The sequence below is a fragment of the Homo sapiens genome, chromosome 3, assembly GCF_000001405.40.
Source record: "Homo sapiens chromosome 3, GRCh38.p14 Primary Assembly".
Lineage (NCBI taxonomy): Eukaryota > Metazoa > Chordata > Mammalia > Primates > Hominidae > Homo > Homo sapiens.
Window position 1 is genome coordinate 21079009 of NC_000003.12, and position 15046 is coordinate 21094054.

The 15046-nt window shown below is 35.3% G+C and overlaps 1 long non-coding RNA gene across 2 annotated transcripts in view; it reads left to right on the plus strand.

Moving 5' to 3' along the window:
- Positions 1-15046, plus strand: part of LOC105376987 (uncharacterized) — a 108868-nt gene that overhangs the window by 37761 nt on the left and 56061 nt on the right. Inside the window, exon 4 of one of the 2 annotated variants that reach the window (XR_940644.2) lies at positions 6287-6423. This is a non-coding gene — a long non-coding RNA (uncharacterized LOC105376987). Of the gene's footprint in view, positions 1-6286; positions 6858-15046 lie in introns of those variants that run through there. The other variant, XR_001740620.2, reaches the window with a different exon arrangement.

Below are 15046 nucleotides of genomic sequence, written 5' to 3' on the forward strand. Positions count from 1 at the left end.
CTTTGCATGAAACCCAGGCATCAATTTCTTCTCTCCAGCTATGCAAGTCTTAGATGACATCCTCTTAGAATAGAAGGCTGTTTTATCTGCATCAAAAATATCTTGTTTAGTGTAGTACCTTCAACAATTGTCTCATCTACCTCTTCTGGATAACTTGAAGCAGCTTTTTCATCAACACTTGCTGCTTCACTTTGTACTTTTATGTTAGAGAGATGGCTTCTTTCCTTAAACATCATGAATCAATTTCTGATAGCTTCAAACTTTTCTTCTGCAACTTTCTCACCTCTCTCAGCCTTCATAGACTTGAAAAGAGTTAGGTCCTTGCTTTGGAATAGGCTTTGGCCTAAGGGAATGTTGTGGCCGGTTTGATCTGTCCCGGAGCAGTAAAACTTTCTTCATATCAGCGATAAGGCCGTTTTACTTTCTTATCATTTGAGTGTTTATGGAAATAGCACTTTTAATTTCCTTGAAGAATGTTTTTTCATTCACAACTTGGCTATCTGTTTGGTGACATCTAGATGCCTAGCTTTCAGCCTATGGTGGTTTTCAACATGTCTTCCTCACTAAGCTGAATTATTTTTAGCTTTTAAAGTGCAAGACGTGTGCCTTGAACTTTAACACTTGAACACTTAGATGCCGTTTTAGGGTTATTAACTAGCTTAATTTCAATATGGTTGTATTTCAGGGAATAGGGAGGCCCAAAAAGTAGGAGAGAGACAGAGAAACAGACAATCAGTGAAGCAGTCAGAACATTTATTGTCACAACATTTATTGATTAATTTTGCCGTCTCATATGGGTGCATTTCTTAGCATCCCAAAACAATTACAATAGTAACCTTGAAGATTACTGATCACAGATCACCATAACAAATATAATAATGAAAAACTTTGAAATATTGTGAGAATTACCAAAATGTACATAGAGACACAAAGTGAGTACATACTGTTGGAAATGGTACCAACAGATTTGCCAACATAGTTGCCATAAACCTTCAATTTGTGAAAAATGCAATATCTACAAAGTACAATTTTAAAAATGAAATGCAGTAAAATGAGGTATGCCTGTATATTTTTTTCTTTGTAATTAGTAACTAATTTGTGGGGATGTACCATGAGATTATAGGTATTTTTTTAATGAAAGTTTACTCACTAATTTTAGCATTTATGTGTGAGTTTAGCACCATCAATAATTCCGTATTTATTAGTTTGCATTTTTATTTGTATGTTCCAGTTGTCCCAGATTTGGCCAGTTAGAGCCCCTTCAAACCAGCTGAACTATATTTTTAATATATCTCCATCATTCATTGAATAATCTATTATTTTGTGTCATGAAAAGATGTCCTGGTCTCACCTTGTGCCTATGTTTAATTATTTTCTATCCATTTTGTCTTGCAGTGCTTAGCCTTAAATGTGTGATGAAATAATATTATTGAGTGTCTTGGTGGTTAGTATTTATTATTCAATCCTAAATGCATTGAATACTAAAATGTGATGATGACATGAGGGAAAACAGAGAGAAGAGGATGGCAGTGACTGGGAGAGAAAATAATGATATAAAGATGGCATTGATCAGAATTACTATACATCTTGGAAAATGAATTTCTCTCAGTGATGTTGTCTAGGGCTTCATGTAATACTAAACAGCAGAATAGTTTAGAAATACAGCAAGTAATAATTAAAAAGCAACATGACTGTAGCAATAAGAAGGCCTTCTAAACCCTTTTTCCTCAAAAAGATGTTATATACAGTTTTGTATTTCTAAACCCTAGCACTCAAATGTTTTCTGTAGAATAGTATGTATCTTTCTATATGCAGTGTATAAAATATTAGATATAATTTAACTAAATAATTTTGCATTAAAACTCTTTCATATCTACTTGGCCTTTGTGCATGTGTATATGTGTTTTACTCTTACTTGTAGCTCTCTGTGCCCTCTTAAATTGTGGCATTAGTATTTTAAGTGATTGTGTTTTTATTCTTTTATAAAATATACCTGCACACACTCGCCCAGACATTTAGTCTTTGCTGTGTTTCAGTTCATATTAGTTCTCCACTGCTGGTTTAAAAAATTGCTACAAACTTAATGGCTTAAAACAATACAAATTTATTATTGTTCATTTCTGGAAGTCAGAGTCTGAAATGGGTCTCAGCTGGTTAAACCCAACATGTCAGCAGATCTGTGTTCCTAATGAAGGTTCTAGGGGAGAATTGATTTTCTTGCTCTTTCCTGCTCCTAGAAGTTACCCACACATTCCCTGGCCTGTAGACCCATTCCTTGATCTTCAAAGTCAGCAGTACCCAGCTGAGTCCTCACACTGCCATCTCTCTATTTAATTACCTGGATAATCTGAATCATGTCCCTAAATTAAGGTTAGCTGATAGCAAACTTAATTCAATTTGGTACATTAAGTTTCATTTGCCATATAATGTAATATATTCAATGCTTCTGAGGATTAGAAGATGGACATCTTTGGGGGACCATTATTCTACTTCTCACAGTACCCAAGACTAATAATATTCCTGCATGGGTAGAAATTGTATTTTAATGGGGGAGACAGAAATTCAATAAACATAGACATGTGTCATAAATGCCCAAGAATAGATACATACTTGAATACAGCAAGGTAAATATTGAGGGCAATAAAAAGATGACTATATTATCTCCAGTTTACAAATGAAGAATTAAGATCAGGCAGGGTTAGGCACTTTTGCCGTTGTTAATTTGACATTTACATCTATCTCTTCCACAAATCCCATGCTGTTTTCTTTTTTTAAAAAAAATTCAACTTTTATTATGGATTAAAGGGTACACATGCAGGTTGTTATAAAGGTAAATTGTGTGATGCTGAACCTTGGGGTCCCAACAATCCTGTCACCCAGGACATAAGCATAGGACCCGACAGGTGGTTCTTCAGTCCATGCCCCCCTTCCTCCCTCCCATATAATGATCCCCGGTGTCTATTGTTCTCATCTTTACAATCAAGTGTATTCAATGTTTAGCTTCTACTTATAAGTGAGAACATGCAGTACTTGGTTTGCGGTTCTTGTGTTAGGTTGTTTAGGATAATGGCCTCCAGCTCCATCATGTTTCTGCAAAGGACATGATTTTGTTGTTTTATATGGCTACATAGTATTCCATGGTGTATATGTATGACATCTTCTTTATTCAACCTACTGCTGATGGGCATTTAGGTTGATTCCACGTTTTTGCTCTTGTGAATAGGGCTACAGTGAGCATACAGGTGCATATGTCTTTAAGACAGAATGAATTATTTTCATCTGGGTACATACCCAGGAGTGGGATCGTTGGGTCAAATGATAATTCTATTTTTAAGTTCTGTGAGATATTTCCAAATTGCTCTCCACAGTGGCTAAACTCATTTTCACTCCCACCCTCAATGTATAAGCATTCCCTTTCCTCTGCAGTATCACACATCTGTTGTGTCTTGACTTTTTAATAATAGCCATTCTGACTGCTGTGAGATGGTATCTCACTGTGGTTTTGATTTGCATTTCTCTAATGATTAGGGATGTTGAACATTTTTTCATATGTTTGTTGGCAAGCTGTATGTATTCTTTTGAGAAGTATCTGTTTATGTCCTTTGCCCATTTTCTAATTGGATTGTTTGTTTTTTGCTTGTTGATTTAAGTGCCTTGTAGATTCAGGCTATTAGATCGTTGTCACATTCATAGTGTGCAAATATTTTCTTCCATTCTGTAGGCTGTCTGTTTACTCTGTTAGCAATTTCTTTTGCTGTGCAGGAGCTCTTTAGTTTAATTAGATCCCACTTGTCAATTTTTGGTTTTGTTGCAATTACTTTTGGAGATTTAGCCATAACTTCTTTGCCAAAGCCTATGTTGAGAAGGGTATTTCCTAGGTTTTCTAACATTTTTATAGTGTTAGGTTTTACATTTAAATCTTTAACCCATCTTCAGATAATTTTCATAGATAGTGAAAAGTAGAGGTCCATTTCCATTCTTCCCAACACCATTTATTGAATAGGAAGTACTTTTCCCATTGCTTTTTTTGTTGTTGATTTTGCAAAAGATCAGAAGGTTTTAGGCATGCAGGTTTATTTCTGGGTTCTCTATTCTGTTCCACTGTTCTATGTGTCTATGTTTGTACCAGTACTATACTATTTTTATTACTGTAGCCTTGTAATATAGTTTGGAGTCAAGTAGTATGATGTCTCTAGTTTCGTTCTTTTTGTTTAGGATTGCTTTGGCTATTCAGGCACTTTTTTGGTTCCCAGTGACTTTCAGAATAGATTTTTCTAATTCTGTGAAAAGTGACGTTGGTCTTTTAATAGGAATAGCATTGAACTATAAATTGCTTTGGGCAATATGACCATTTTAACTATATCGACTCTTCTATTCCACGTGCATGGAATATTTTCTGTTTATTTGTGTTGGCTCTGATCTCTTTCAACAGTATTTTGCAGTTCTCCTGGTAGAGGTCATTCACCTCCTTGGTTAGATGGATTCCTATGTATTTAATTTTCTTTGTAGTTATTATAAATGAGATTGTGTTCCGGATTTGTTTGTCAGCTAGAGTGCTATCGGTGTATAACAATGCTACTGATTTTTGTACATGATTCTATATCCTGAAACTTAATTTGCTTATCAATGTCAGGGGCTTCATGCTCTTTTCATGATGCAGCTCTGTTTCACCATCTCTCCAGTTCTCAGGTGAAGATAGTAATGAGTCTACTCATGTTATTCATAATTGTATCTCATAACAAAACCTCAATAATAATTTTCTGTTGGTGTTATACTTCTAAGCCATTTTCATCTCATATTTTTATTTTAAGCACAGAGCCAATAGAATAAAATAATTTTCTTGAGATATATACTCATAAATCTCCTTTGAAAAAATTTCTGAAGTCAAACCCATAGAAGTATCTATATCTTATAACATTTCCCACATTTTTCCATGAATTTCTTGAATGCCCTCTGAAGGTGGGCCAGAGCCATGGATAAAATATCAGTAAGCAATGGATGTCACCTCTAAGAAAATAAGCAAGGCAGGCCGGGATTACAAGCCTGTAATCCCAGCACTTTGGGAGGCCCGAGGCGGGTGGATCAAGAGGTCAGGAGATCCAGACCATCCTGGCCAACACGGTGAAACCCTGTCTCTACTAAAAATACAAAAAATTTAGCCAGGCGTGGTGGCATTTGCCTGTAGTCCCAGCTACTCGGGAGGCTGAGGCAGGAGAATGGCGTGAACCTGGGAGGCTGAGGAGCTTGCAGTGAGCTGAGATTGCACCACTGCACTCCAGCCTGAGCGACAGAGCAAGACACTGTCTAAAAAAGAAAAGAAAATAAGCAAGGCAAAGATATTCAAAAATCGTGATCAGTGGCTGATATAGTCCTAAGAGGTTGTTTTTAATAACTTTCTTTCTCCATTTCTTTAAAATGGAGAATAATACTCAAGAAGCAGGTTACATAGTTTTCTTTGTGGTAAATTATTTTCTTCATTTTCTTGCTATTGCTACTTGAGTCATTCTACTGTTCGAAAGTAAAGTTCAGTGAATTCTTATCATCACAGCCCTGTCATCACATTCAAGGCTCTTCACAATCTGCTCCCAGTCTGTTATTTCACCTTCATTTTTTATCATTGTGTATTCTATTGTAGACTACATTGTATTGCATCATAAATGTTTCCAGCTTCCAATAAAGTTTGTGAATCCACACTTATCTATGAGCATGAGTTCCATAAAAACAGAGATTGTGATACATTTTTTTTTTTTTTTTTTTTTTTGAGACGGAGTCTCGCTCTGTCACCCAGGCTGGAGTGCAGTGGCGCAGTCTCGGCTCACTGCAAGCTCCGCCTCCCGGGTTTACGCCATTCTCCTGCCTCAGCCTCCCGAGTAGCTGGGACTACAAGCGCGAGCCACCACGCCCAGCTAATTTTTTGTATTTTTAGTAGAGATGGGGTTTCACCGTGTTAGTCAGGATGGTCTCGATCTCCTGACCTCGTGATCCGCCCGCCTCGGCTTCGCAAAGTGCTGGGATTACAGGCGTGAGCCACTGCGCCCGGCTGTGATACTTATTTTTGTAGCATTGATACTTAGCACAAAGTCAAGCACATAACAGAGATTCAATAGAAAAAATATGACTGAAAGGCTGAATGAATAAATTATTGATACCTTATCAGAGCATTTTGACTCCTCACTAGTTCTGTTATTGTTTCTTAGGTCTGTAACTGCGTTTATCTCTATGCAAAATATGGAACACTTGCTTTATCTTTAGTGTTGAATTAACACAGGTATTTCTTATTTTTTAGATTCAAAGAATTAGCTGGACTATGTCTCCAGGTGGATGACTCTATGGAAACTTTGAGCTGTATGGAACAACCTCCTGATCATCCATTTACCTTGCTTTGGTACATTAGGACTTTAATAGAAACTGCCTAATGTGCAGGTAAGTCAGCAAGAAATGAAATATGGGTCATTATTCAGTGGTACCAATTGAGCAGAGCAGCCAAATGTAAATCATTGAGAAATGGGAATGGTTCATCCCGTTTTGCAATTTGAAGTAAGTCTAAAGACTTCATGTGGCAGAGAGGTCCCAGGGTTCACTTTGGAAAGCTGAGCAGCAAGTTTCTCTCTTCTAAGGGTCCATCTGATACTAACAATTCTAATCTCTGGCAAATGGAAGCACAGACTGTATTTTTCCCTATGCTCTCTAATTGTCTAACAATAACCTTCATGTACATATGTTATACTATGTGACTTTCAGTTTGTCACTTGGGTTTTCCAAACCTCACTTAATTCATAAGACAAAAATTACAGCTACTCTGGCTACTCGGCATGATTCTCTTTTAGCACTGAATAAACTATGCAACAGAACTTGGATACAAGTATCTCAGTGTCCTTTGGCCAACATCCAACTTCTAGTATCTAAAGCTGTGCACCTGAGGGATCTTTTTGCTGGAACTGTGGAAGATTCCATTGCTGTATGTGTGTATGCACACACTGAACAGGTGGAGTGCTGAGGAACTAACACTTCTGTGAGCAATTCTCCACCAATGGTTCTCCAATGATTTGTATATAAATATTCCAGTTTCCTTATACTTCAAGTCAGATGATTATGGTGCATGGTTTTTATGAATCGTGCTATCAAGCTTGGTGATCAATTTCCAGAGTTTCCAAGCAGGATCTAGCTCAAGTTATGTACCATGTTAGTTGGTATATTAGCCCATTCTTATGCTGCTAATAAGAACATACCCAAGACTGAGTAATTCATAAAGAAAAAGAGGTTTAATGGACTCACAGTTCCACGTGGATGGGGAGGCCTCACAGTCATGGCAGAAGGTGAAGGAGGAGCAAAGGTACATCTTACATGGTAGCAGGCAAGGAAGAGTGCAGAGCGAAGGGCAGGGGAAACACCTTATAAAACCATCCGATCCCTAATTCACTATCATGAGAACAGGATGGGGAAAACCACCCCCATAATTCAATTATCTCCACCTGGTCCCTTCCACAACACGTGAGGATTATGGGAACTACAATTCAAGATGAGATTTGGGGGAGGGACATAGCCAAAGCACATCAGTTGGCTTAGTAGCTCACCTTTTGTTGGCTGTCTTCCTTCCTTTTTATCACATCTCTACCTGTGTTATCTGAATTTACCAAACATACCATTTACATTTAAATCGTGGTTTCAATTTCCGTAAAGCCTAAATAAGAGAGCCTGTACGCTGTGAAAGCCACATGAGTGAGGAGTGATATTATTATTAATTTTTAAAATTAATAATATTTGGATGAATTTAATATTTATCAACTTAAGAATACCTTTGATAAAGAAGAAACTTAAAAGGTTTTTCTTTGGTTTGGGGTTTTTCGTTAAATATAAGGAAGAGGTATGTGAAGAGATCTAGTGATAGGCAGGGTAGAAAGCAGATCAAGGGAAGAGTCTAGCTGAGCCCAAAGATTTGGCCCAGAGACTTCTAGTTCCAAAAGGGCAGCATAGTTGCAAGCTGGCTTCATCTATGAAGCCAGAAAACCAAAAATAAATATGCTGCACCAAGATTATCTCCAGCAATATTTCAGAACTCAAACATGAGAATAAGTTAGTTCCTGAGGACACACATAAATGAAAGAACCACAAGCAGATGGACACTTGTCCATACCTCCACACACAGGAAGCATCATGAGTGCCTGTATTAGTCTGTTTTCACACTGCTTTAAAGATACTACCTGAGACTGAGTAATTTATGAAGAAAAGAGGTTTAATTGACTCACAGTTCTGCATAGCTGGGGAGGCCTCAGGAAGCTTATAATCGTGGAGGAAGGTGAAGGGGAAGCAAGGTAGTAGGAGAGAGAGTGAGGTGGGAATTGCCAAACACTTAATCTGTCACTATCATGAGAACAGCGTCAGGGAAACTGTCCCCATGATCCAGTCACCTCTCACCAGGTCCCTCCCTCAACATGTGGGGATTACAATTCGAGATGAGATTTTGGTGGGGACAAAGAGCCAAACCATATCAGTTTCTGAAGGGAGAAATGCCCCTAAGGAAAGACAGAGATAAAGGATTGGATTTTAGCTAAAGTAAGAAAAAAGGAGAGAAGATTCAAATAAATAAAATCAGAAACAAAAAAAGTATATAACAGCTAAGACCACAAAAATACAAAGAATTATTAGAAACTATTATGAACAACTATATATCAACAAATGGAAATACTTAGAGGAAATGGATAAATTCTTGGACACATACAACCTACCAAGATTTAACCATAAAGAAATAGAAAACCTGAACAAACCAATAACAAGTAATGAGATTGAAGCAGTAATAAAAAGTCTCACATCCAAGAAAAGCCCAGGACCTGATGGCTTTCCTACTGAATTCCACCAAAAATTTAAATAACTAATACCAATACCATTCAAGCTCTTCAAAAAAATTGAAGGGGAGGGAATACTTCCAAAATCATTCTATGAAGCCAGATTACCCTGATACCAAAACCAGACAAGGACACACACACACACACAAAGGAAACTACATGCCAATATCACTGATGAACACAGGTGCAAACATCCTCAACAAAACACTAGTAAACCAAATTTAACAACATATTAAAAAGATATTCACCATGATCCAGTGAGATTCTTCTCAGGGATGCAAGAATGGTTCAGGATATGCAAATCACTAAACATGATAAATCACAAGAACAGAAATCATATGATCATTTCAACAGATGCTGAAAAAGCATTCAATAAAATTCAGCATCCCTTTATGAGAAAAACCCTCAATCAACTAAGTATAGAGAGAACATACTCAAATCAATAAAAGTCATATATAACAAACCCACAGTCAACCTTATACCCAATAGGAAAAAAATGAAAGTGTTTCCTCAATTATCTGGAACAAGGCAAGAATTCCCACTTTTACTACTTTTATTCAACATAGTACTGGAAGTCCTGGCTAGAGCAATTAGTCAAGAGGAAGCAATAAGGCATCCAAATTGTAAAGGAAGAAGTCAAATTAGCTTTGTATGCAAACAATATTGTAGTGTGAAAAAGCTAGACTCCACTAAAATACTCTTAGAACTGATACATTAATTTAAAATTACAGGATACAAAATCAACATACAGACATCAGTAGCATGTATATATACCACCAGCAAACAATGTGAAAAAAAAGCAAGAAAGCCGTCTCATGTACAACGGCTACAAAGAATATAAAATGTATAGGAATCAATTTAACCAAAAAGTAAAAGATCTATACAAGGAAAACTATAAAACACTAATGAAAGAAATTGAAGAGATCACACAAAAAAAATGAAAGAATGTTCCAGGCTTGTGGATTGGAAGAATTAATATTGTTAAAATGACAATAGTACCCAAAGCAATTACAGATTCAGTGCAATCCCTATCAAAACGCCAGTGACACTATTCCCAGAAAGAGAAAAAGTAATGCTAAAATTTATATAGGCCCACAAAAGACCCTAGAGTGCCAAAGCAATCCTAAGCAAAAAAAACAAAGCTGGAGGCATCACACTACACCTAACTTCAAAATATACTAAAATGCTATAGTCACCAAATCAGCATGGTACTGGAATAAAAATAGACACATAGACAAGTGGAATAGAATATAAATGCATGAATTTAAAGCCAACTCATTTTCAACAAAGGCACCAAGAACATACAATGGGGAAAGTACATTCTTTTCAATAAATGATGTTAAGAAAACTAGATAACCAAATGAGAAAAAATGAAACTGTATCACTATCTCTCACCAAATACAAAAATCACATCAAAATGGATGAAAGAATTAAATCTAAGACCTCAAACTGTGAAAGTACTAGAAAAAAACTTTGGGGGAGTGTTCCAGGACATTGGTCTGATCAAAGATTATTTTGTGTAAGACCTCAAAAACACACACAACAAAAACAAAAATAAACAAATGAAATTACATTCAGCTAAAAATCTGCACAGCAAAGGAAACAATCAACAAACTGAAGAGACAACCCACAGAATGTGAGTCTTTAGAAATTAGCCATCTAACAAGGGATTAATAACCAGAATATATAAGGAGCTCAAACAACTAAATAACAAAAAAGTAAGTAATCCAATTTAAAAATGAGCAAAAGATGTGAATAAACATTTCTCAAAATAAGGTATATAAATGGCCACATATGAAGAAATGCTCAGCATCATTAAGCGTAAGAGGAATGCAAGTCAAAATCACAATGAGGTATCTTCTCGCTTAGTTATAATGCCTTTTTATCAAAAAGGCAGAGGATAACAGATGCTGGTGAGGACATGGAGAAAGGGGAATTAATATCACACACTGTTGGTGGCAATGTAAAATGGTACAGCTATTATGGAAAACAGTATAGATGTTCCTCAAAAAAATTAAAACTAAACAAAAAAATCTAAAAATAGTGCTATAATACAATGCAGAAATTTCACTACTGAGTATATATCCAAGAGAAAGGAAATCACTGTATCAAAGAGGTATCTGCACTCCCATGTTTAGCACTATTCACAATAGTCAAAATATGGAATCAACCTAAGTATCCATTAATGGGTGAGTGGATAAAGAAAATCTGGTGTATGTACACACAATGGAATATTATTCAGGTATAAAAAATGAAATTCTGTTATTTGCAGCAATGTGGATGGAACTGGAGATCACTAGTTAAGTGAAATAATCTAAGCACATTCCCACTTATACGTGGGAACTAAAAAAGTGGGTCTCTAGAAGACAAGGAGTAGGTTGGTGGTTACCATAGTCTGAGAAAGGCAAAGGGAAGATGAAGAGAGGTTGATTAATAGGTATAAATATGCACTGAGAAAAAATAAGACCTGGCGTTGGATAGATTAGTAGGATAACTGTAGTTAGTATTATTTAATTATATATTTGAAAACAACTAGAAAAGAATAATTTGAATGTTCCTGGCATAAATAAAAGATAAATATTTAAGGTAAAAGATTTTTCAGTTTCCTTGTTTTGACTGTATGAATGTATCAAATTATCACATGTACTGTGGAAATATGTACAGGTATGGTGTATAAATAAAACATAAATAAATATTTTTTAACAAAGGATTTGGCCTAAGGACAGATCACCAGACTACAGCTCAGAAAAACATCTTTCAAACCCAGTAATGATCTCTGATTCATTAATACAACTGGGACAAAGAAAGGAAAGGTAGCAAATTGTATTTCAGGCACATTCCTATGTGTGAACACACCCATAGCATAAAACCTTAACTCTGAAAGAGACCTTATCAACTCATACCAAATTACCTTTGTAATCTGTTTTTCTGACATTTCTGACAGATTGATTTTCAAAATGGTTTCAGAAGAACAATTTGAGAAGGAAAATAATGATACTGTTAGATTATTACCCATAAAATAAAACAGGAAGCCATGAATTACTATTGATTACATAGTTTAAATAAAAATAAATAGTAGGTTACAGACGGGTCTTCCTTAAAGTAGAATTCCAACTAATAAATCTAGAAGGAATGAAAGAAATGGAATAATTGTTTCAGCCAAGAGTTAACTATGGATGTTAGGCAAAGGCCTTATGAAAAAAAAGATATTTATACGGTTTTTAAGTAGCTCCCTATATGTTACTTATTAATCATAAACCAAAATGTAGTAACTTTTAAAGTGGAGAAACTTTTAGGCATCACCTTAACTTCACCAAAAATGAAACATACAGATATCCCGAGCCTGGGACAAGCAGGATGTGCTGAGAAGGCACAGCATTGCTTCTGTGGTACTCTTACAAAAATGCACAATCATAAGAAAACATCAAACTAAGTCAAACTAAGAAACATTTTTACATATTACCTCTCCAGTAGTCTTTAAAAGTGTCAAGGTTGTGAAAGACAAATGGTCAACAGAGGAACCCTTCCAGATTGAACGAAAGTAAGAAGCCATGACAACAAAATGCATCCTCTGACCCTGCATTGGATCCTGGGTCACTACAAGGACATTTATTGGTCAGTTGGAGAAACTGGTCTGTAGATTTAAGTATTATTATTGTATCAAGGTTAATCCCTGATTTTTCAATGAACTGTAGTTATATAAGATGTTAACACATGGAGAATCTGGATAAAGGGTATAAGGAATTCTTTGTACTATTTTTGCAACTCTTTTAATGTCTAAAATTGTATCAAAAATACAATTTAAAAAATAATTTAAGAAAACTTCTAAAATAGACTCCTCAGGAAGATCCATACGTTCCTAAAAAATAATTCCACCTCAAATTTCAAAACAAGGCACCAAAATTTAGAAATCACATCATATTTAAGAGAAATTGTCTCCTTAAAATATTGTTACATTGTTATTAGCTTCTTTAAAGCATACAATATTTTGTAGAAAATCATGTTTGACAAGGACTTATAAAACCAGTTTCTCTCTAACTCTACCACCTGAGTACATTTCATCGTATGTCTCTGAATTTCCATTTTCTTCTCTGAAAAAAGATAAAGATAAAAATCATCTGTACCCTGAGATCTCACAAGTTAACATGAACAAAGACAATCAAAACAGTTGTAATGAAAATCCTGTAAAACAGCTCTTTCTATCTTCTGTTTACTCAGGTTCAATATCCCATTCTGAATGAGTAAAAGACAAGGTCTAGTATTTTTCTTTAAAGATGAATTATTTTGAAATATGATTACATGCTCAATATGTTTCTTTCTATTGAGGCTGAATTTTTTTAACCTCAAAACTCTCTTTTCTCAAGAGGTTGCCTTTTAATTATGTCCCCTCTTGATCTAAGGTCTTTCTTATTTGTTTAAATGTTATTGTTTGGACCTGTATTGATTGCTCCTGTTCAATTGCAGGGTTAGCATTTGCTTAGATCTAGAATGAATTTTTCTTCCTGTTGCCTTGAGGACATTCGTTGGAAACATCATGTTGTGCATGATGGAGGTTCTCCTGATGAAAAGGTTCACAACAAAAAACAAATTAATTTTTTGTAGCAATCAGTGGTGTGATCCAACACATTTTCCTATTCCCTTTACTTTTCTATTCTTTTGGTCTTCCACCTTCCTGATTCCTTTCATGTAGAAAGTGGACTGTAGTTTATTTTAAAAGAAATACTATGACTGTCTCCTTGACTTAATTAAAACAAGGACTTTAGCTCATCTAGAATCCTAATCTGGTAAACAGAAAACATAAAGAATCAAGGGAGACCTATCTTTCCTGAAGTAAAAGAGAAATGGATCCTCCTAGCTGTAAGACAGATTTGTATTCTAGTCAACTCCTTTACTCTTATTTACACACACACACACACACACACACACAATCATACATGCATGTTTGAGATTTGTTTAATTGTGTTGTGATTTTCACAATAAAGGTTATATTATGAATCCACATGGAATAACTAAATTATTTGTGGGTTTATCCTACACTAACTTTTTGGGTGTTATTAATCTTGTTTAGCACCTTCCTTTATAGTGCATAGAGATTGTAGAAATGAAATATAGCATTATTATGACATTGTTCTGAATTTGATACAAGGGCAGCCAAGCTAAACTGACATGGCCAATTTACCCAGCTTAGTTTGTCAGAATGGGTTTGCATGTTGAAAATGGTATACTCAACTCAGAAAGACATATTTCCCCCCAAAATACATATTTGGAATCCCCATGCATTACTAAATATGTGCCAAGTGATATTCTCCCTAAATTGCTATAAGAAAATCAAATGACCCATGGTTCTGACGAATTTTGGGTGGAAGGAACTATACATTGAAAGCATAAAGTCTATCCTCTTATTATAACAAGGGAAAGAGGTTTCTATGTTCAGTGTTCTCTGGAAGTTCTTGAATTGCAGTACTCAAAAGGACACATCATTATTTCATATACATTAACCAATGACTACAAAACCTTAGGATATTTTATATTTTAAATTAATATGCATTAGGATGACACAGTAAGGGGTAACACTTGTTGCTTGGAAATACAGCTTATGATTTTAAAGTTTCCCATTTTTTCCCCAAAGAACTAATATCATCCTGAAAACACAGTAAATACCTCTTTCAAATACATATTTCTAGAAAAAGCTCATATGTCTTGATAGAACCTGTCAAGGGAAATAAGATAAATGGAGAAGAGGAATTACAAGGAAAAAAATGAACATGGGGAGTCTGAAAATCTGTTCAGTTTAGACATCAGCAGCTTCTTATTTACTTTGGGCCAAGAAATTGTCTTACATTTTATTTGAATGAGAAACTAGAATAATTCTTTCTTTACTTATAAATATTCTGAGAGTGTAGGTCATTTGTGTAATGATCTTCACTAAGATCCTCTCAATGTTTCTTTCTGCTTGATTTTCACATATGTGTGCTAACATTATCACAGGAAATTCTACTAAATTAAAATATTGTTACAGCTAAATGTTACAGGTGTTACATTATAATTCATGATAAAAGGTTATTCATTAGTTCAAGGTTCTGTTAGCACAATCTTTCTGCCTTCTTGACTAGGAAGTAACAGTGTTTTTTGGCTCTATAATAGTGACCTAATTGTTCATTTTCCTAATGCTTGCCCTGAAAAAAAATGTAAAGAACGTAGTG